We start from the raw sequence: 20,699 nt of genomic DNA, 5'->3' as shown, positions 1-20,699 counted from the left end.
TGTTCAGTTCCCACCTATGAGTGAGAATATGCAGTGTTTGGTTTTTTGTTCTTGCGATAGTTTACTGAGAATGATGATTTCCAATTTCATCCATGTCCCTACAAAGGACACGAACTCATCATTTTTTATGGCTGCATAGTATTCCATGGTGTATATGAGGGATCTAGAACTAGAAATACCATTTGACCCAGCCATCCCATTACTGGGTATATACCCAAATGACTATAAATCATGCTGCTATAAAGACACATGCACACGAATGTTTATTGCGGCATTATTCACAATAGCAAAGACTTGGAACCAACCCAAATGTCCAACAATGATAGACTGGATTAAGAAAATGTGGCACATATACACCATGGCATCTGGATTTTTAAAACTCCCCAGGTTGCTAATGTGTAGCCAGAGGTTGAGATGCAGGCCCTAGGAAATGATACAAGAGATAAGGGGAAGGCTGACACTTCTGCCAGAGCAAGAGAGGGGAGGGATACTCAGCTGAGAGCTGCTTCTCAACCTTGGACATCCCCTCACCACAGGCACTGCTTCAGTCCGGGAGGTTTTCACTTAGAATTAGCTTCTCTTGAGATCCCAGAATTTCAGAGACTCTCACCCTTTTCATTTCCTATAGCTATTAGAATTTACAAAGGGGCCACCCCCAGAGGAGACAGAGGAATTGACAAATTGACCTCTAAGAGGCTCATCTCTTATCAGAAAAGCATATGGTCCCCAGATCACCAGTGATAGAAGCAGAGGCAGATACCTCTAGTAGTTGGAAAATTTGTAGTTACATAGTAAATGCAGTTTCTACCTGGTTGCTACAATAATAGGCCAAGCGATTAGGATACAAGTTTCCAGGATCTTTTCCTATATTTCCAAAAAGATAAATCACCCCTAGGAACAGAATCTGCATATTGTAATTAACTGATAAATATTTCATGCCTGGCTCAAACTTTCTCCTCTTCTATTTAATGGCCACAAACTTGAGCACAGAGGAAACAGCAGTGAGGAGAGTGGCGGTTGGCTGTAGTGGGGAGGTTCTACCTTGGCTTCAGGGAGGGAGAAACTGTCTTGGTTAATTATTTACTGTCCTCCTGTTCTTTTAAGAAAACATTGCTCACCTGGAGAAAATCAGGTCCCAGGTGGTAAAGGGTGTGACTTGGGCTTGTTGGCCTCAGCCCTGACCTCCCCCAGGAGAGGCCAGGTTTTGGTGACCCTGGGGGTGCTGGGAACTGCAGGCTTTGGAGTCAAGGGCCCAGTGTTTAAACAAGAGCTCTGTTCTGTCACTTATTAACTGGATAGCTTTAGGCAATTTACGTAATTTATGTGAAACTCAGTTTCTTCATCTGTAAAACAGACATAATTTTTACCTTGTAGGGTGGCCTATGCTCAGTTGGCTCTCAATGCATGATAACTATTATTATCAACAGTAACAATGAATAATTAATAGCCCATTGGATTGTACTCTTTCCCTTTCTCAACCCTGCTCCAATGTGTAGGGCACCTAAACTACTGAATGCTTACTGTGAGTATGGTGAATGCCTTAGCTCAGTTAATCAACATAATTCTTTGAAGGGAATGTCTTATCATCCCTACTTATCTGTGTTTTGCAAATGAGGGAACAGGGCATGCAGAAGTTAAATACCCTGCCAGGTGTCACACAACTAAGTGGTTAAGAGCACAGGCTCTGCAGTCTGACTGTGTAGTTTCAAATTTGGGCTCTGCCGCTTAATAATAGACTCTCCTTGACTTACGATGAGGCTGTGTCCCGATAAAGCTGTAGCAAGCTGAAAATATTGTAAGGTGGATATGCATTTCATACACCTAACCCACCAAACATCATAGTTCAGCCTCGCTTACCTTAAAGTGCTCAGGACACATTCATCAGCCTACAGTTGGGCAAGATCATCTAGCACAAAGCCTATTTTATAATAAAGTGTTGAATAGCTCATGTATTCAACATGAGATATTTATTCATCTCATGTATTCAACATGAGATTCAACATGTTATAATGTACTGTACTGAAAGTGAAAAACAGAGCTGTTGTATGAGTATTAGAAGTACAGTATCTAATGAATGCATATCACTTCGGCATCATCATAAAGCTGAGAAATTGTAAGTCAAAGCATCATAAGTCGAGGACCGTCTGTGATCACTGCAGGATGGAACATAAACTGCTTAACCTCGCTAAGCCTCAGTTTCTTCATCTGTAAGTTGGGGATATGAATGGTACCTACCTGAAAGGTAGTTGTGAGAATTAAGTGAGAAATGCGTGTATAGTGCCTGTCTCAGTACTGGCATGTGGTAAGTGCCTAGTAAATGTGAGTTGTCAGTACCATCATCATACTACCCAGCAACTCAGTGCCATGGCGTCTCCTGCTCTTTGGTGGTGTTTGGGAGGTGAGTGAGTGTGACGGTCCTCCAAAGGTCACAGAGCTGCTCTTTTAACTCCCCCTGACAGACACACACACTTCAGTATCTAGGACTCGGGAGAAAGGACACTAAGCAGATTATGACTCCATTTCAGGAATTAAATCAAAACTCAAGACTATCTCAATTTGGCTTCTGACTAGAGGGAAAGGTTAAAAGGGAGTGAGGAGGCGGCTGGGTGTGCGTTCAGAATTGCAATTGGTTCTGGATCCCACCTCCCAGCCCCTCCACAGGGCCAGGCCCAAGGAGTATCCCCCAGGGGTGGAGGAGTGAAGGAGCCTTAGAACCTGTGTTATCTGAATGTGGGTGAGGTGGGGAGAACGTGGTCAAGGAGTTGGGAAATTATCCAGAAACATTTTCCAAAGGGAGATCTTCCCGCATACCACCTCAGCCTGGCTCTGGATTGCAGGGGAACCCCAGAACGGATGGGGTCTGGGGGCTTAAGACAGGTAGGTGGCCTCAGTAGAGGGGAGAAACAGTCCTGCTGGAGACAGTCGCCTCCCTGGAGAAGTACCTGGGCTAGTGTTCTCTTTAAAGACGTCTAAGCAGTCCTGGTATGCTAAAAACATTATGTGTATGTGTATAAACATATATTCTGTGTGTGAGTAGCCACTCAGCTCTTACTTGGCTTCGCACATTTGGCCCAGATTATTCTGAGCATTGTAAACTAAAAGTGAAATTCGGTTTCTACTTAAGAGAGAGCGTGATTTTCCTCAGTATTATCTCCCGTGCCCCCAACACTCCACCAGGCTTTAAAGGCCATTATACAGAAGGGAGAACTGAGACTCCAGGAGATGGGTGGCTTGTTCAGAATCACAGAAGCAGCGTGGATCCAAGAAGGGATCTGTTCCCAAACAGAAACCAGTGTCTTGGGAGAGAGAGAGCAGAGGAAGCCCGCACCTCTGCCCTAACCTGAGGCTTTGAGCCTCCCGCAAAGCCGAGTGAGTTGAGAGCGCCCAGAAGGCAGACGCTGCGGAGGGAGAGACTCCTGGGCTAGCCAAACAGCAGGGCCTCGGGCAAGAGCGTCACCTGCGCGTCCTCATTCTGCGATTACTGTCAGGGGACCATCCATCAGCGCCGCCCTGGACGCTGGGCCAGACTGCCCGCCGCCCGCACCGACCGGGTCTCTCCAGATCGCATTAGCATTAGCGTGGGGCGAGGGCTCAGTGCGGCACTGGCTGCTGAGGGAGAGGCGTGGCGGGGAGGGGGGCGGGGCGGGGGGACGGGGACATCGCGGTGGGGCCATTGCAGGGCAGGGGAGTGGCTGCTTTAGGACCCTCCTCCTTTTCTTCCAATCTCCCGCCTCTGGCATCTAAGGTGGATGAAAGGGGCACTGGAATGGGCGGCTTTTGGGGGGCAGGGGGTGCAGAACACTGAAGGCATCAGGGAAGGGTAGTGATGGGGGCAGTTATCAGAAGCAGAGAGGAAGAAATACCTGTAAAGGGGAAAGCCAGAGAAATTGTCTGGGGAGGGGAGAGACTGAAAATGGGGGTGCAGAGATTGGGGGTTAGTGGAAGAAAAAGACTTAAAGGGAAAGGAAAAGAGAAGCTGTAGAGGGAAAAAGAATAGGCAAGGAATTGACGAGAGAGCAGGGAAACAGGAAACCACAGATCGTCAGGGGCTGACAAAACCTTAGAGACAATCTACTGCAGCCCCTCATTCTACAAATGAAGAAATGGAGGCCCAGAGAGGGGAATCCCTTCTCCAAAGACCCACTCCACCTGCTGGCTGGGCAGGCTCTTGACCGCAGGCTCATTCATTCAACCCATGTGTTTTGAGCATCTGCTGTGTGCTGGGCACTGGTCTGCCGAGATGATGCAGGATCAGCTCCTGCCCTCCAGAAGCTACAGTCTTTCCTCAGGGGCTTGGAGAGGCTGAGCATCCAGGAAGCTCCCTCACCCCCAGCCAGGAGGGACTCCCTGAGCCCCACCTCTCCTGGCCACTGAACCTTCCTTGCCCTCTGCTGTTCTGCTTATCTCCTCATGGAGGGTGGCCGTTCCCTGGAAGATCTTCCCTCTCCACTTTCCTGGGGACTCCCCAGGTGTGGAGACAGGTACTCGACAGTTTGGCCAACTTGTTCTATCTCCCACAGCCAACAGCGTAGGCCTAAAAGCAAAGTCCATATTCCTTGCTGGGTTTCACCTCTGGGCATGGACAAATCCCACAGGTTGGACTGAGATCCAATTGAGCTGTGGTAAGGAGGATTGAGGCTGGACATGAAGAAGTACTTCCAGGTCCCACAGTGTGGGATCATTTTCCTGCTGGGGCTTTAAAGTAGCTGTCCTTCTGTGAGCACAGTGTTGGCACCATCTTCCAGGGAAGGACTTGTCTTCCTCAGTCTCCAGTTAGCCTTGTGCGAGGCATTATGCTGGGAATGTTGGGGTTCCAGATACCTGGTCTCTGACCATGGGGTTTCTGCTCTAGACATGGGTGAACTGACATCTCCCTGGCATCCTCCCAGTCACTGCCAGCTCTGCAACATCATGGAACCCCTGAGTCCTTCACAACTCCCAGATCATCTCATCCTTCCTCCTTGCTCTGGGAAGACCATGTCTGAGTAGTTCCAACCAACCTCTCACCTTAAACCCAGTCCCTGATAATGAGAAGTACCTCCTTAGTCTGGACTTGACCTTCCTTGCTGCCATGGTCCATCAGCAATGACCAGGGCTGAAGCAGCACGTTTTTTCTATAAACACCGCTCCCTCCCAGTGATGCTCACCCAATCCTCGGTGGTCAGGCAGGGAGTGGGGACAGCTTCCTGCCAAGAGCTCTGGAAGGCAGCTCTGCCTCCTCTGCCTGAAGCAAGCTCCTGTATACTCTGAGATGGTGGTGTTCATTTTAAAGAAGGGACCATCTTTCCTCCACAGCCCAGCTTACATTTGGAGGGAGACAAATGTGAGTTTCCAATCCCAGAATCTTAGCCACTGTACCAATCTCCATGGATGCATGGGATTCAGGAAAGGAGAGAAATGAGCAGAGTGAGGACATGGATAGAATCCATTTCCTACCCCTTGTTCCAGCCCAAGTCCCAGGGAAAGGCCCACAGAGGGCAAGAGAGGTGGACATTGAAAATTCCAGACTAAAGACCAACAGACAGATTTCAGCATTATTCCTTCTTGTAGGCAAAGTGGTACCTAAGGATCTAACCAAATGAAAAAGCCTGGGAAATAGGCTATTTCTGCACCCCCTGACCCTTCATGCAGAGCAGGATATCGGCTTCAGCCCAGGAGCAATGCTAGAAGTTGAGAGGTTTGGAGTAGACTGTGAAGCAGTTCCTCCAAGGGCATGCCAGATGAGGGGGTTGGAGCACCCAGCCCAGAACAGCATCCAAGGAAGGAGGCCTTGGCAGTAACTTTCTGTCTCTGTATTAACTTCACATACATTTTCTTGTGTGATCCTCAGTGCCAGGTTCAGCACCAGGCACAGAATACATGCTTGCTGTACAAATGCATAAGTGAAGAGCCATGGGAGGAAGGTCAGGATCCTCAATTACAGATGAAGAAACAGACACACAGAAAGGTTAAATGACTTGCTCAAGGTCACATATCTCATCAGAGACAGGGCCAAGTTTCAGTGGAGAGCCACTTTAGTGGTAGAGGGTGGTAGGGAGGAGGGAGGCAGGAAGGGAGGGAATGAACCATCAGACACCACACGGGGGGAGAGGAGAGCTGTCATCTTTCTCTTTGTGAAAAGAGATTACTTCCTGGGAAAGGTGGCATTTAAGACCACACAGTTTTAAAAACGACCCATTGAAGGTTGATTTGAGCATATGCAAAGTTCTGCCAAAAACATGGAGAGGTCAATGAGTAGACGGGGTCATTGAGGATCAGAAAAGAAAGACAACACTGAGAGTCTGGACAGCTAAGCCCCAGAATTTTGCTAGTCTTAAATGCTGGGTGACATCAGGCCTTCCACACCCCTCTCTGAGCCTCTAGAGAATGGAGATGCCAGACGTGGAGGAGGGTACACATGGGCAAGAGGAGGCAGGTCATTGCCTTCAGGGTAGCAATTGGAGGCATCAAGTTCCCACTTCCCTAGACCTATTCTTTGTTGTTATTATTGTTGTTGCTTTCATCTGATTTTAATTGTTTTATGTTTTTTGAATAAGAAATACACGTACATGGTTCAAAACTCAAAAGGCACCAAAAGTTATACAGTGACAAGTAAGTCTCCCCGGAACCTCAGAACTCCCAGGCCACCCATGTCCTCACTCCGTTAGTACTGCAGTAACCACTGAATTGTATAACCTCCAAAGGTATTTTCTGCTTCTCCTGGCTTGTACCCTGAGGCCACCACAAAACCGAGTTGAGCACTGATATTCTGAGGAGATGTGGTAAACATGTTTTGGCCCCTGGACTGGTGGGGCCTTGGAATACTAAATACTCTCACTTTCCACTCTGAAAAGATGGAGAAACTTGAGGTCAGGAGAGAGGACATTTCTGCGTGCTTAGAAGCTCAGAAGCCTCGCAGGTGAGAGGATGGAGTTGGGAGCCAGGCAGAGGCAGGAACCCTCTCCAGGGCTCTAGTACCACACTCCCACCCCAGAGCCTCACAGTGCCCTCTGGGTTAGCCTGGCTCAGGTATGCACCCAGTTAGGTCCTGCTCAAGTTTTCCAGAGAAAAAGGCCCAGTGCTTCCCCTCCACCACCTGTCACATTGTTGGGAGGCCTTTCTTGATGTCTCACTCTAGTTCCTTCGACTTTAGGTGTGGCCCATGGCTTTTGATTCTGCCCTCAGTGGAGATGGAACATGCTCTTGGAGATGATAGCTTCCAGGGACCCAGGCTCTTCCTCCCACTTGCGTACACAATTTTCCTTCAGGCCCTCTAATTCCACCTCAATCTTTTTTCCAGACTTAGAAGACACATGCCTGTTCTTTCAGCTACCCCCCCCCCCACCTGAATTCCCGGTCTGCCTCCATTCCCAACCACCTCATTCTTGCCCTGCACATCCCTTTGGCATTATTATCCCCAAGTATTCTTTGGTCATGATGATGGTAAAATCCCAACCTAAAGCCAAGTCCTCCACCAGATTCCAGAGGTAAATCCAGCCTAGTCTCTTTGATAACTGAATCTCTCCATTTTGGGTGATGCCCTAGCCCGACTCTTGAACTTGTGCCCAACACTCGGACTCTCAGATCCTCACACATGGCCTGTTGTGAGATAAGGCACAAGTTCATCCCAAGCCTGGGATGGCCTCCCCTCTGTTCTCTTCTCCAAACCCTCCCCTGGTGAACCTCATCCTTTGTATTTACTCACTAAGCAATTATTATTGAGTACTATTCCAAGTTCTTAGAATACATTGGTGATCAAAACAGAGAAAGACCCCCCACCTGTGTGGAGTTTACATTCTAGCAGAGAAAGACAGATAATGAACAATATTCTTACTAAATAAGTAAATTATATCATATATTAGAAAATGATAATTGTTACAGAAAAGGAATAGATCACGTACAGAAGGATCAGCATGGAGGGGAAATCTGAGGTTTTTAGTATGGTTGTCAAGGAGAGCTCACTGCGAATATGGTATTTGAACAAAGACTTAGAGGTGAGAGAGGAAGTTAGCCCCATAGACATCTTGGCAAGAGTATTCCAAGTAGAGGGAGTGGCTGGTGCTAAGGCCCTGAGGCAGGAACATGCCTGGCAAGTCTGTGGGAGTGAGCAAGAGTGGGAGGAGATGGCATCAGAGAGGTAAGGAGGGAACAGATGATGTTCGGCCTCGTAAGTCAACTTAAGGACTTTGCTTTTTATTCTGAGTGAAGTAGAGAGGAAAGACATGATTGGACTTCAGGGTCTTGTTTTGTTTTGAGAGACAGTCTCACTCTGTCACCCAAGCTAGAGTGCAGTGGCACAATCTTGACTCACTACAACTTCTGCCACCCAGGTTCAAGTGATTCTTATGCCTCAGCCTCCCAAGTAGCTGGGATTACAGGCACCTGCCACCATGCCCAGCTAATTTTTGTAGTTTTAGTAGAGATGGGGTTTCACCATCTTGGCCAGGCTGGTCTTGAACTCCCGACCTCGTGATCCACCCACCTTGGCCTCCCAAAGTGCTGGGATTACAGTCATGAGCCACTGCACCTGGCCTGGACTTCAGTTTTTAAATAGTCTTTTTGTCTTTTGTGTTGAGAATAGATCACAGGGGGCCAAGGGAAGATGCAGGGAGACTTGTTGAAAGGTCATTGCACTAATCCAAGTGAGAAATGTGTGGTTTGGACCAGGATGGCAGCAGTGCGTGTGGTGAGAAAGGCCCAAATTCTGGATTTGGTGACAGTTTCCTCTTCCTTGGCTTCCATCCTTTTGCTCTCTTTGCTTCCTCTCTTCTTTTCTAGGTTGTATGTTTTCTCTCTTCTTGAAGACTGAGAGCTCTCTGTGGGTGGGGCTCAATCTCTGTTCCTGGGATCCAGGGCAGGACCCCAGGCAAAGGACAGACAGGCCCCGTGCTGCCTGGGAACAGGCTGACAAGCCATGCAGCTTCACAGCCCTCCCCAATTACAGGGTCCCTGAGCCAAGGGGAAGAGGCTGCTGTTTCTAAAGAGGATGTGATCGACAGTTATTGAAGGTGCTTAGCTGGGGGCTCCACTCTAGTCTTAATCTGAGCCGCCCTCAAGGAAATCATAACCAGCTCTTAAAAACATGTTGAGACCAAAGCTGGTGTGTGTGTTTGAGCGGAGCTTCAGACAGCTACTTAACACTGGGGGCCTCTGGGCTTTTGATTCCTCCACTTCTAGCCTGCCATCTCCCCCCAGCTGGCTGGTGCTTATCAGCCAAGACGTTGTTTAAATCACACTCATTTCCTATAACCATTTCATTTGAAATGCCATCCTCTGCTCCAGAAATTCATCTATCACCAGCCTAGGGGTATAGTTGAGGAGCCTTGGGGTGATCACTCCCCATCTCTACCCCTGCCCCCAGTCACCCCTCCTCCCATGACCCATATTCTCAGGTTTCACTCTATAAGAACTACTTCCACTCGGTGTGACAGGGCACTTAGTGCCAGAATTATTTATAACATTGAGATGGCAACAGGGCAATGGAGAGCAGCCCAACCCATGGACACTTTCTCTTTGAAAGCTCGATCAATGGACCTAGATCACTGTTTACTACTTGGTGTCTCGGCCTCTGCCATGTTTCCTGCTGGCTTTGGGGGATGGGGAAACAGGGGTCTGGACCAGGTCAAGGCTGTCCTCAGAGTTTATGATGCTTATAAGCCAGGCCTCCAATAAAGTTATGCCTTCACTGTACCTCTATTCCTTGGCCAGGCACTTCCCTGCCTCAGGTGAGCTCTCTTCTTGGAAATGAACCATTCTTCGGGCTTTTTCTCAAACAGGAGCCCTCTGCCTCCCCCAGGAAAGCTGGTATTATGTCCCTACCACAGTGGCAGAGCTAGGACTTGAGCTGAGGAAGTCATCTGATATGGATCAGAATGGGGATGTAGAAGATTCTGGGAGTTCTTCCGAGGAAGGGCTTGAATTGGCCCCACCCAGTCTGGAGTGGAGGTAGAGGGATGGATGAATTCACTTCTTAAGGACTGAAAACCTTTTTACCATCCTCTTCCTCCCCAGCCATAGCCAATTACTAGTTGTCCTAATTTGAAGGCTCTGTTGTCTGGACTGGAGGATTTTTACCCATTTTCCAGCCCCTCTCCCGGTCTCATTTATTTGGGCAGTGTCACATTAAAGGCATTGTCAGACTTCCTAGTCCTTCCCAAAGGCCTGACCCAACTCCTTCCCAAATGGTGAAGCACCTCTGCCTCCCTCCCTTTACACCTGTGGACCTACCACACTGGGGAACTCCTAGGTGAGTCCCAGAGAAAGCCCAGGTGAAAGACTATGAGCCTGTCGGAAGGGATCAGGGTAGAACCCAAGTTGGGACAGGCAGGGGAGGCAGTCCCAGTCTTTAGGGGGGTCAAGTAATTCCCCTTTACAAGCCAAATGAAGAAAAAAAGTTCTAAGGGGAGCATATGACTCCATAAAATAAAGGACATAATTGGGAGTGATATCTAATTTATCTATTGAATGCCTCCTACGTACTCTTTTATCACTTAGATGGACAGAATATAATTGGTGTGCTGTGCGCCATCAATCTCAGAGCCTGGGCTTCCTGTGCTGGCTACACATATTACTGTCAGATTATGACACTGTAATACCAAGATCAATGACATTTTAAACGTGCTCCAGTTATGGGCAATTGCTGACAATAAAAACAGTGACAAATTGATGAAACTTGGGCAGCGATTATCTGGTGTCAAAAATAAACCATAAAGAATCTGATTTCCAAACAGAGAGAGGTGCCTGGGACACCAGCTTAGGGAGGAAAGGCCCAGCGAGAAGAGAACTTATCCTGCTCACATGATCTTGGCCACTCAGGAAGCCACCTGCTCTGGAAAACTCCCTCTAGGCTGACCTGCAAGACCCCAGCAGGAAGATGGAGAGGTGGTCTTTGGTTAAGGCTTGGGTTCCCCTTAGAGAGAATCGTCATCACTGAGACTCTGGGAAGTGTCTGTGTGTGACTGCCAAGGTGGGCTCCACACAAACTCACTGAGATACTGGTGGGTTGTCTTTCATGTCCTGCCCACACTGAGGAATTAGGGCAGACTGGTTGAGTCATAGAATCACACTTAGCCAATGTTAAAGCTAAAAGAGACCTTGAGAGTCTCTCTTCATGGAGGGTCAGGCTCTGTCCTCCAAACTGTCCCTCAGCAGAGGGACCTGGATCTTCCCTAACTTGACCCAGGCATTATTTCCCCAGGCTAATCCCCTTCCCCACCCATTGCAGGGAACTCCAGGCCTTCAACCAGCAGAACTATTTTGGCGTACATTAAGAAGGTGGGCCTCCTCCAGCTCCTCTTTTTTTTTTTTTTTTTTTTTTTTTAGATGGAGCCTCGCTCTGTCGCCCAGGCTGGAGTGCAGTGACAAAATCTCCACTCACTGCAAGCTCTGCCTCCCAGGTTCATGCCATTCTCCTGCCTCAGCCTGCCGAGTAGCTGGGACTATAGGCGCCCGCCACCACACCTGGCTAATTTTTTTGTGTTTTTAGTAGAGATGGGGTTGCTCCATGTTGGTCAGGCTGGTCTTGAACTCCTGACCTCAGGTAATCCACCCACCTTGGCCTCCCAAAGTGCTGGGATTACAGGTGTGGGCCACCATGCCTAGCCTCCAGCTCCTTATTTTTAGTGGATTACCTTAATTTGTAGTATTCCTTTCATACATTTTTCTCACTTTAATAATCACAGTTTTAAAATATGAATACTTTAGTAGCATTGCTAATACTACTTTATATAATAATACTTTAGTAGTATCGCTAATACCACTATTACAAGGATAACTACTATTGGGAAGCATTTATTGTGCAACTACTATATGTAAACTCTGTTCCAGGTGTTTCATGTGTATTATTTTTCATCCCCAGAGCAGCCCTGTGAGGTGGGTATTGTTCTTCACATTTTAGAAGTGAGGAAACAGGCTTAGAGTCGTAGTGATGTGCCTAAGATGACACAGCTGATAAGCAGTGGAGCAAGAAAGGAGCCTGAGATGTGGCTCAACATTCATCTTTTTTCCATTGCCCCTTTCACAGACCTTTATAGTCCCATTTATAGACAGGGCTGAGGGCCTCCCTAAAGAACCTATAGCTAGTCAAAGGCAGAGCTAGACCTAAGCCTAGCTTTTCTGACCCTTCTCGTATTAGACCTGCACCGTATGTATTTTTTTTTAAAGACTGGTCAAGTGCAGTAGTGAGAAGGGGGAAGGAGCAGAACAAGGAGTTTGATCTGTAACTGACTGTGAACAATCAATTGAGATAAGGCACTACCTTCGGAACACCCCCGACACTCTTTCCAGATGCACCACAACAGTCCTTTCCCCAGGTCACCACCACTCACTCAGCCAGGGGCTTCAGCCTTGGCCTCTAAGAGTCAGCAGGGGGTCACAGTTGGCTTTGAAACCAAGCAGACAGGTGTTTGAATCCCCACTCTGCCACCTTACAGCTGTGTGGCCTTAGGCAGGTGGTTGTGAGAATTTAAATGGCATAAGCATATAAAAGCATTTGGCGTAGAGTCTGGCACATAGTAGTGCTCACTAAATGGTAGTCATTAAAGATACAACCTGGGACAGTGGCAGCTAGTTTAACAAACCACCACACCCCATAGCACCTCTCACCTGGGTGCAAGTTCCCCAGGCCACACTGCAGTAGCTGCTCGCTGAGGGTGTCCCCGGATATATAAGAAGCCTCTCTGAGGGCCACAGAGGTTTTTTGATGGCAGATGGTTTAAAACATCATTTTTATATTAAGTTGTATAAAATATACTACGTTATAAAATGCAAAGTTTGCATCATTTTAGAGCTAAAACTTAAGGCCACAAAAGAATCTGCTATTTTCTTATTAATAAAAAATCCTATTTTTATATAATGCAAATAATGAAGATGAAGTAACCTATTATTTAATTAAACATGTCTTTTTTTAAAAAAAAAAAAAAAAGAAATAATTGGTCCTTGCTAATGGCCCTTCAGGGCAATCCCCCAGACTGCTGGGGTCCAAGTTTACCCTCCTGCCTCTAATAACAAAGGGACTTTGGCAGAAAAGTTTGAGAAACCCTGTCAGGAAGAGAGCCTACACAAGGACCAGGAAATCTGACTTCTTCATTCTTTAGAAGAACAAAACAAATAGCAACATTGTGTTTTCTACCTTCCTAGTGTTTTACCTTCAAGTTTAGCATTAAGAACATGAAATGTTTTGTGTAAATTCGTGATTCTTATTTCTGGTTCCTTTCTGTTTAATAATTACTAGCTGAATCATTAATCATCAACCAAGTGAATGGTCACACTTTATAGAAGGCTACAAGGTGGAACACAAGATTAGTTGGATTCTTAAGAAAGAAACTAAAAGCTGCTTGCGACTTAGATGCTCTTAAGTTTTATGACTGTGGTGGGAATTTGAGCATCCGGGCCTTGCTTCTGATGGTCCTCTCATTCCAGTGCCCCAGTTCTAATCCTCTGTGGGTGCCCTCGGTAGTCACAGCCTTGGGGCTGCCCAGGGCTCAAGGCGTCCATGTTTTTAAAGTGCCCAAAAACGGCTTTTGATTCATCAGAAACTCCACAGGACACCCACCTAACTGGGGCTCTGATACCTAATTCAGCAGCACCCACCACCAAGTCTTTCTAAGTTTTATTTTTTTTAATATTACATGCAATATATGTTAATTATAAATAAATGTAATAATTCAGGTAGGTGAAAAGGAGAAGGAAAAATGGCCCAAGTAGTTTCCCCACTGAGGAAGAACCCTGGTTAGCGAGGCAAGTCACGTGACTTTCGGAATCATGTTGAATCTACACCCATTTAAGGTGGAAGTCTATATAGCCTGATTCTTTGATGGTTTAGAGCTCTGCTCAGTTTAGAGTTCAGGGAGGTGGTATCTACAGGGTGTATTGCTCTGATAAAAATTAGCAGCCTGCCCAAGTTCAAGGTATGAGGGGACCGATCACAGATTGGTTTGAGAATCATTATGTTGGCCCTTTGGTGACTCTAAGGATTAGATCCAGAGTACAAGGGGCCCACACTTCCAAGGGATCCCACCACACCTTCAAATAGCAGACTCATGGAAAGGGGATTCCAAGATTCTCCCCCTCCAGCTACGGCATTGCTTTACAATATTTAAAATTCCTTGACTAAAGAGCAAGTCTAAATTGCAAGTACTCCTAGGACAGGGACTGGCTTAGATCCATGACAGCTCCCTCTCTGAAAGAAGGGCATGCCTTACTCCACCAGACCAAACAAAACTAAAGTGACTTCTCTGCTACCCCCAGAGAGGGGCACTGGGGATGGTAAAAGCATTTCTGTCCCTGCACCCAGGGATGAAGTAGAGAAATGCCACTTAACCATAGCCAGGACCCAAAGAATTGTGAGTGGAAAGAGTGACAAAAACAGAGAAGGACAGAACTGTAAGCCACCGCACTTCATTTAGGAAGTTAGTGCTAGGGTAACAGGAAGGATCGGGTGGGCTTTCAGGGGAGTGGAACCTGTTAGAGAAAGAACAAAACTGAGTGGAGACGCAAGGCAGGAGACCATTTATAGGTGAATTAGCAGCAGAGGGTGGGTGGTGGCTGTGCCTGGGGCAGGGGTGGTGGGGTGAGGAAGTGGGGGTGGCAGTGACTTTGAGGGAGCTCTTGCAGAAGGTAGCTTTTTGAGGTGAAGAGCCAGAGCTCTGGGTCTTAAGAGTTGGAAAGCAGGTTATATTTCACATCCTTCCCTGAACAGAGAAATTGAATTTGGTCAAGAATAAGTCCTAAGAAGCAGTTGTGAGCACCCCACTTTTCCATCTTGTTGATGAATATGGAGTGGGAGCAAAGTTGAGTGTGGGCATCTGACAAGGTCTTTATGATCCTAGATGCACTTACTATACCTTCCTCCTCCTCCTCTGCCTTGGCTAATGGGCTGTGGGTACCCACCACACAGAGGGCTATAAGACACTCACTGTGGCTGATGGAGAAGCTGGGCCCTGCCCTCCTGGCCTTCTGAGGAAAGTGATTATTGTTTTTGGCTTGTTTTTCAACTATCCCTTTGCCCCCAGCAGGACTGAACCTTTCCACTCTTACCATCTCTGGGTCCCTTCAGATCTTTTATAGCCTTGAACTATCCGCTACAAGATTTTTTTCTGTCCTAAGAACGGAAGTCTGGTCTGCTTCCTAACATTAATCCCTTCCACACAGCACAGCCTCGTTTCCTCTAGATCAGAGAGATGGCTTCTGGATTCATCTTTCCCTGCAATCCAGCTTCTCCTCCTGGGGCCCTCATAATGGAGACTGGGATCATCATCCAGGCTTTTGCACTGGGTTAGGAATTTGGGAGTCATCCTGGATCCATCTGCCCCTGTCAACCTTTCTCTGTCAACAGATATTTACTGGGCATCTCCAACAGCCAGGCCCTGTTCATGGTGCTGAAGAACAGCATGTATAAAACAACCCTGCCCTCACAGGGCGATCACCAGTGACCTGTGGTGTGGAGTCTCCTTTTACCTCTGTCTCCTCCTTCCCACTGTCACCATCCTTGGTCCTCCTCTGTCACCTGGAATACTCCACTTGGTAACCAGCATGATCTTCTAACACTAGTTTTACCCTTGTCAGCACTTTGCCGAAAACCTCAAATAAAGACTTTTTTTTTTTTTTTTTTGAGACGGAGTCTCGCTCTGTCGCCCAGGCCGGACTGCGGACTGCAGTGGCGCAATCTCGGCTCACTGCAAGCTCCGCTTCCCGGGTTCACGCCATTCTCCTGCCTCAGCCTCCCCAGTAGCTGGGACTACAGGCGCCCGCCACCGCGCCCGGCTAATTTTTTGTATTTTTAGTAGAGACGGGGTTTCACCTTGTTAGCCAGGATGGTCTCGATCTCCTGACCTCATGATCCACCCGCCTCGGCCTCCCAAAGTGCTGGGATTACAGGCGTGAGCCACCGCGCCCGGCCAAATAAAGACTTTTTTAAAAATGTGCGATGGAAAACTAAAGTTATAAATTATATCATAACCATTGGACCTCTTTTTAAAATGCACTGAAGCCTTATAATGTTATCCATGGATATATATCTATGATAAAAATAGAAAAAATATATGATGGTGGTGCTTCTGAAAGGGAGGGGAACGGTACTGGGGAAGGGACAAAGGGAACTTCAACTTTATCTGTAATGACCTGTTTATTTTGAAAACTCAAGAGCAAAATTGACAAAATTTTAACAGTAACTTAACAAAACCTCAAGTCTGGATAGTGAGTTCAAGAGTGTTACTTTATATGGACAGGCAGTGACTCATGCCTACAATCCCAGCACTTTGAGAAGCCAAGGCAGGAGGATCTCTTGAGCCCAGCCATCCTCCCACCTTGGTCTCTTGAAGTTTGAGACTAGCCTAGGCCGCATAGTGAGACCCTGTCTCTTCAAAAAAAAAAAAAAAAAAAAATTGAAAGCAACTCAGGAGGCTGAGGAGGAAGGATTGCTTGAGTACGGGAGGTCAAGGCTGCAGTGAGCTATGACTGAGCCACTTCACTCTAACCTGGATGATAAAGCAAGACTCTGTCTCAAAAAAGAAAATTAAAAAAAGTGTTGCCTGTAATCCCAGCACTTTGGGAGGCTGAGGCAGGTGGATCACTTGAGCTCAGGAGTTCGAGACCGGCCTGGCCAACATGGCGAAGCCCTGTCTCCACCAAAAATACAAAACATTAGCCAGATGTGGTGGGATCAGTCTGTAGTCCCAGCCACTCAGGAGGCTAAGGCAGGAGAATCACTTGAACCCAGGAAGCGCAGGTTGCAGTGAGCCAAGATCTCACCACTGCACTCTAGCCTGGGCGACAGAGTGAGACTCCATCTCTAAAAAAAAAAAAAAAAAAAAAAAAAAGGAGTGTTACATTAGTTGTCTATATGTAGATACACTTGTCAAAATTTAAGCCATAAAACCCTCAGTGTCCCTCACTGTTCCCACCCCCTTAGCCTGGCATACTGGGTCTTTCACAAGCTTGTGTCAACCTCCTCTACAGACTCATCTCTACACTGAGGGACTTGCAGTTTCCAAGTCCTCTGGCCTTGGGACCTTTGCCCATGCTGTTCTCTTCTGAATGCCCTTTCCTGCTTTGCTACTTTGTTCTTGCCCTTCTGGATTCAGCTCCTGGGAGGCCCTGTGGATTGAAGTCAGATGGCTCAAGTAGGCAGCTGGTTAGGACCCAGGAGACAGAAACGTGTCTGGGGAGGACAACACTTTCTTGTCCTGGTTTCTATTCAGCTGCAACTAGAGAAACAGATCACCTGTTTCTTGTTCAAAACTAGGATCAGTGAGAGGAGGGTGGAAAGAGTAAGATCCTCCACAGTGCCCTCCCACCTCCCAGCCTCCCCCTACATAGCCTAGCCCCAAGGCAGAAACTTCCCAGCAGAAAAAGGAAAACTGATAACCTCATTCCTTGGTCTGGCTCTGTTAGGATTATCATCTGGTTTCCCCTGCTGGTGTTGGAAGAACTGTGTTGGTGCAGGCCAGTGCTATCCTGTGACTAGAGGGAAGAAGCTCTGCCTGGGCCTGATTTGGCCACAAGCTCCTAGTAAGATGCTGAAAAGGAACACAAACTCTCGGCCCAGGACACCCTCCCCATGCCATCCCACACTTGACTTCTGCGCACCTTGTGAGCAGATCAGATTTGGTGTTGCTTCTTCCACATCATCCTCACATCCCCTTTCACAGACTCGGATAGATCCCCTCATGGGAACCTATGGATCTATGGCATATCTATGGATATGCCACCCCATGGCAACTGTCCTTTCCCCTTCATAGCATACATCACCCTGAATTATAGCTGCCTGTTTATGTATGTGTCTTCTGCACCAGGTAGTACTCTCTGATGGGGCAGGGATTGGGTCTGTCTTGTTCACAGTTGCATCTCCAGCACCTGCAACTCTGCCTGGCTCAGAGTAAGTGCTCAATACTTTTTGTTTTTGATTGAATGATAGAATGACGAGTGAACTCTATTTCCCACTAGACTGTGAGCACCATGTTGACAGGGACCATGCCCTGATCATCTCTGGATCCTTAGGGCCTATATAGTGCTTGCCACATAGGAGGTGCTCAGTAGACACTTATGGATTTGAGTGAATGGACTTCAGTTTCTCCACTTACAATCTGAGTAAGAGGAAGATATTCTTTGCCCTCTCTCCCTCCTTCTCCAGCCACATTGGGGGTTGTGGTTGATGCTGTGAGGTCGTTCCTGCCTTATTCAACTTCATGTCCAAATCTTCTATGGCAAAACACAACATGGTGGCCAAGTCTCAGAGTCCAGGCATCCCTCCCATAGCCCATAGCCAAGTATGGGAGAAGGGTGCTTCAGGGTCTCTCTCCATTCACTTTAGTCTCCAGCATTAGCCAAGATCCCACTGTCTACCCTGAATTCTTCCTGCTATTGCACAAGGTTTCTTTCATCTTACTGTATTGTCAGGGAAAATATAGCCAAGATTATCTGCTCCTCAACCTGAAGTAAAATATAGATTCTGCCTAATTTTAGAACCGGTGTTAGCCAGGTGTGGTGGCTCATGCCTATAATCCCAGCATTTTAGAAGGCCAAGGCAGCAGGGGAATCGCCTGAGTCCAGGAGTTCAAGACCAGCTGGAGCAATATGGCAAAACCCCATCTCTACAAAAAAAGCAAAAAAATTAGCTGGGTGTGGTGGCACACACCTGTAGTCCCAGCTACTCAGGAGGCTGAGGCAGAGGATCATTTGATCCCGGGAAGTGGAGGTTGCAGTGAGCCAAGATCGTGCCACTGCACTCCAACTTGGATGACAGAGTACGATCCTGTCTCAAAATAAAAATAAAGAATAAAACCAGTGTTTCCACATCTGGAACTTTCTTTTCAAGTTTATATCACCTCTCCTTCCAAATCAGGTCTCCCCTCTTCCAGGAAGTACTCCTTGATTAAGCCAAAAATGTTTTAATTTTCACCACTTGTCCTATTACTCTGCATCCCCACAGCACTTGTAGTTTGTACTTATTCCCTATCCTGTTTAAGTGTGTTCATCATCCTAACCATACTGCATAAGCAGGCACTATTTTAAGTAGGCTTGATAGATTATCAGAAATTGACAAGAAAAAATACACACCAAGAAGAAAGTAGAAGAGGATTTTTTTCTTTTCTTTTCTTTTTGCTTTATCATAGAATTTCTTGTCTTGGTGCTTACAAGCTGTGTAGCACAATGAGAGGAGAATGTGATTTCTGCAAAACATTTCAGGAAGCACAAAGAAGTATCTGTAAATACCCAGGAATAATGACCATGTCTTTTATTTGTATTATTTTTCTAATTCCTCCACTCTATAGGGTTTGCCCAAAGTCCTTGATTTAAGCCCTTGAGTGTTGATTGGCTGACTTAGCTTTGGATTGTGGTCCACTGAGATCGCTGGATCTTTTTAAGCTTTAGAGTTATGCCCTGCCATGTGGATGCAGGTGGAGGAAGGACTTCTCAGTGTGACCCATGAGAGGAGTAGCTCTCCTGGGCCCCAGGCCCCAGGCTGCATGTGTATGGGAGGGAGGAGGAGAAGCAAGGAAAGGAGGAGAGACAGAAGTATATACTGAGCTGGTATTTGGGGGAAGGGTTGGCGGGTTGGGAGAAGGGAAGAGAGGAGTCTGGGCCAAGGCCAGATGTGTCTCCCTGGGGAGTCCTCAGAGCGGGCAGCCGGACGTCGCTCCATCCTTCCCGCCTGACGGATGGGTCTGCTGCGCAGGCACAAGCTGTCGGGCCAGGCCCTGCCAAGGCAGAACAGTGGCGCTTCTGTGCGCGCTGCTCCGCTCCGCTCAGGAGGATGGGGCCCGCCCGGGAAGCCAGGGAGTGATGGAGAAAGCAGACGTCCCAGAACAGGAGCCGCGGGGTCACAGAAGCACAACTGCGTCCCGAAACAAGGAGCCACAGGATGAGGTGGGAGGGGACCGGGAATCAACGCGGGGGAGCGTTTGGGGGAAGTGCTGGTCGAAAGAAGAGAGGCAGAAGGACGCGCGCTGAAGGAGCCTGGGGATGAAGAGCTCGATGATTTGGCCACAAGCCCCCTCACCTTTAAGAACAAAGCTTCCTGCATTCAGTTGCAGAGTTTTGTTTCCCGGTCAGATGCTCAGAGACCTTCCAACCTGTCCCCCACCCCTCAGCCTTGCCCATCTCCACGGGCATCTTCCGCGCCCTCGCCCGGGACTCGGAGCCCACCACCCTCCGCCTCCGCCTGGCCTGGCCCGCGAGATCCCTGACGCTCCAGTTCGGAATCTGGGATCCGCAGGCTCCCAGATCCGCCGCTGGCCCGGCTCCGACCCGCCCGTCAGCCGCCTCCCCCTCAGCGTTAATTAAAACTTGCGAGATGGAGAGGCTGGCGCGGGCGGCTCCGTTTAATTTGCAGCATCTTTCATGCTGCTGACGATCGTAAAGGGCTTTAATATTGAAATATGGGCCATTTTCCCAGCTCCAGCCCTCGCCGCGCGCTCCCCGCACCCCCACACCCAGCCACCCCGCGCTTGATGAAAGAGCCCCTGCAAATCCATTAAGGAGAGATAATTGAAAACTCCGGGGTAATATTTAAGACCGCGTGCCGACGCGGGGTGGAGGGCCTGACTGCGCCCGCTTTGCCCCTCAGTGCTGGTGCGTGCCAGTCCCTAGCGCTCTAGGCCCACCAAAGCCCCGCGGACGCCCAGCCAAGGCCCGCCGTCTTAGCGGTGCCTCCTCACTCCCTGCACTCAAAGGGCTGGCTCTGCGCTAACCTGGCTCTTCCGAAGACTTGCCTGGAGACC

The 20,699-nt window shown here is 48.0% G+C and overlaps 1 annotated feature.

Annotated features, from left to right (window-relative positions):
* Positions 19,356-20,173: an enhancer, noted in NCBI's record as "H3K4me1 hESC enhancer chr9:67756597-67757414 (GRCh37/hg19 assembly coordinates)". NCBI's record gives its function as "activates a minimal SCP1, AML or CMV promoter by ChIP-STARR-seq in primed H9 embryonic stem cells {active_cell/tissue: H9 hESC(primed)}" and the evidence as "EXISTENCE:reporter gene assay evidence [ECO:0000049][PMID:30033119]".

This window comes from Homo sapiens, chromosome 9 (assembly GCF_000001405.40).
Source record: "Homo sapiens chromosome 9, GRCh38.p14 Primary Assembly".
Lineage (NCBI taxonomy): Eukaryota > Metazoa > Chordata > Mammalia > Primates > Hominidae > Homo > Homo sapiens.
This window is presented reverse-complemented; position numbering and strand designations above follow the sequence as displayed.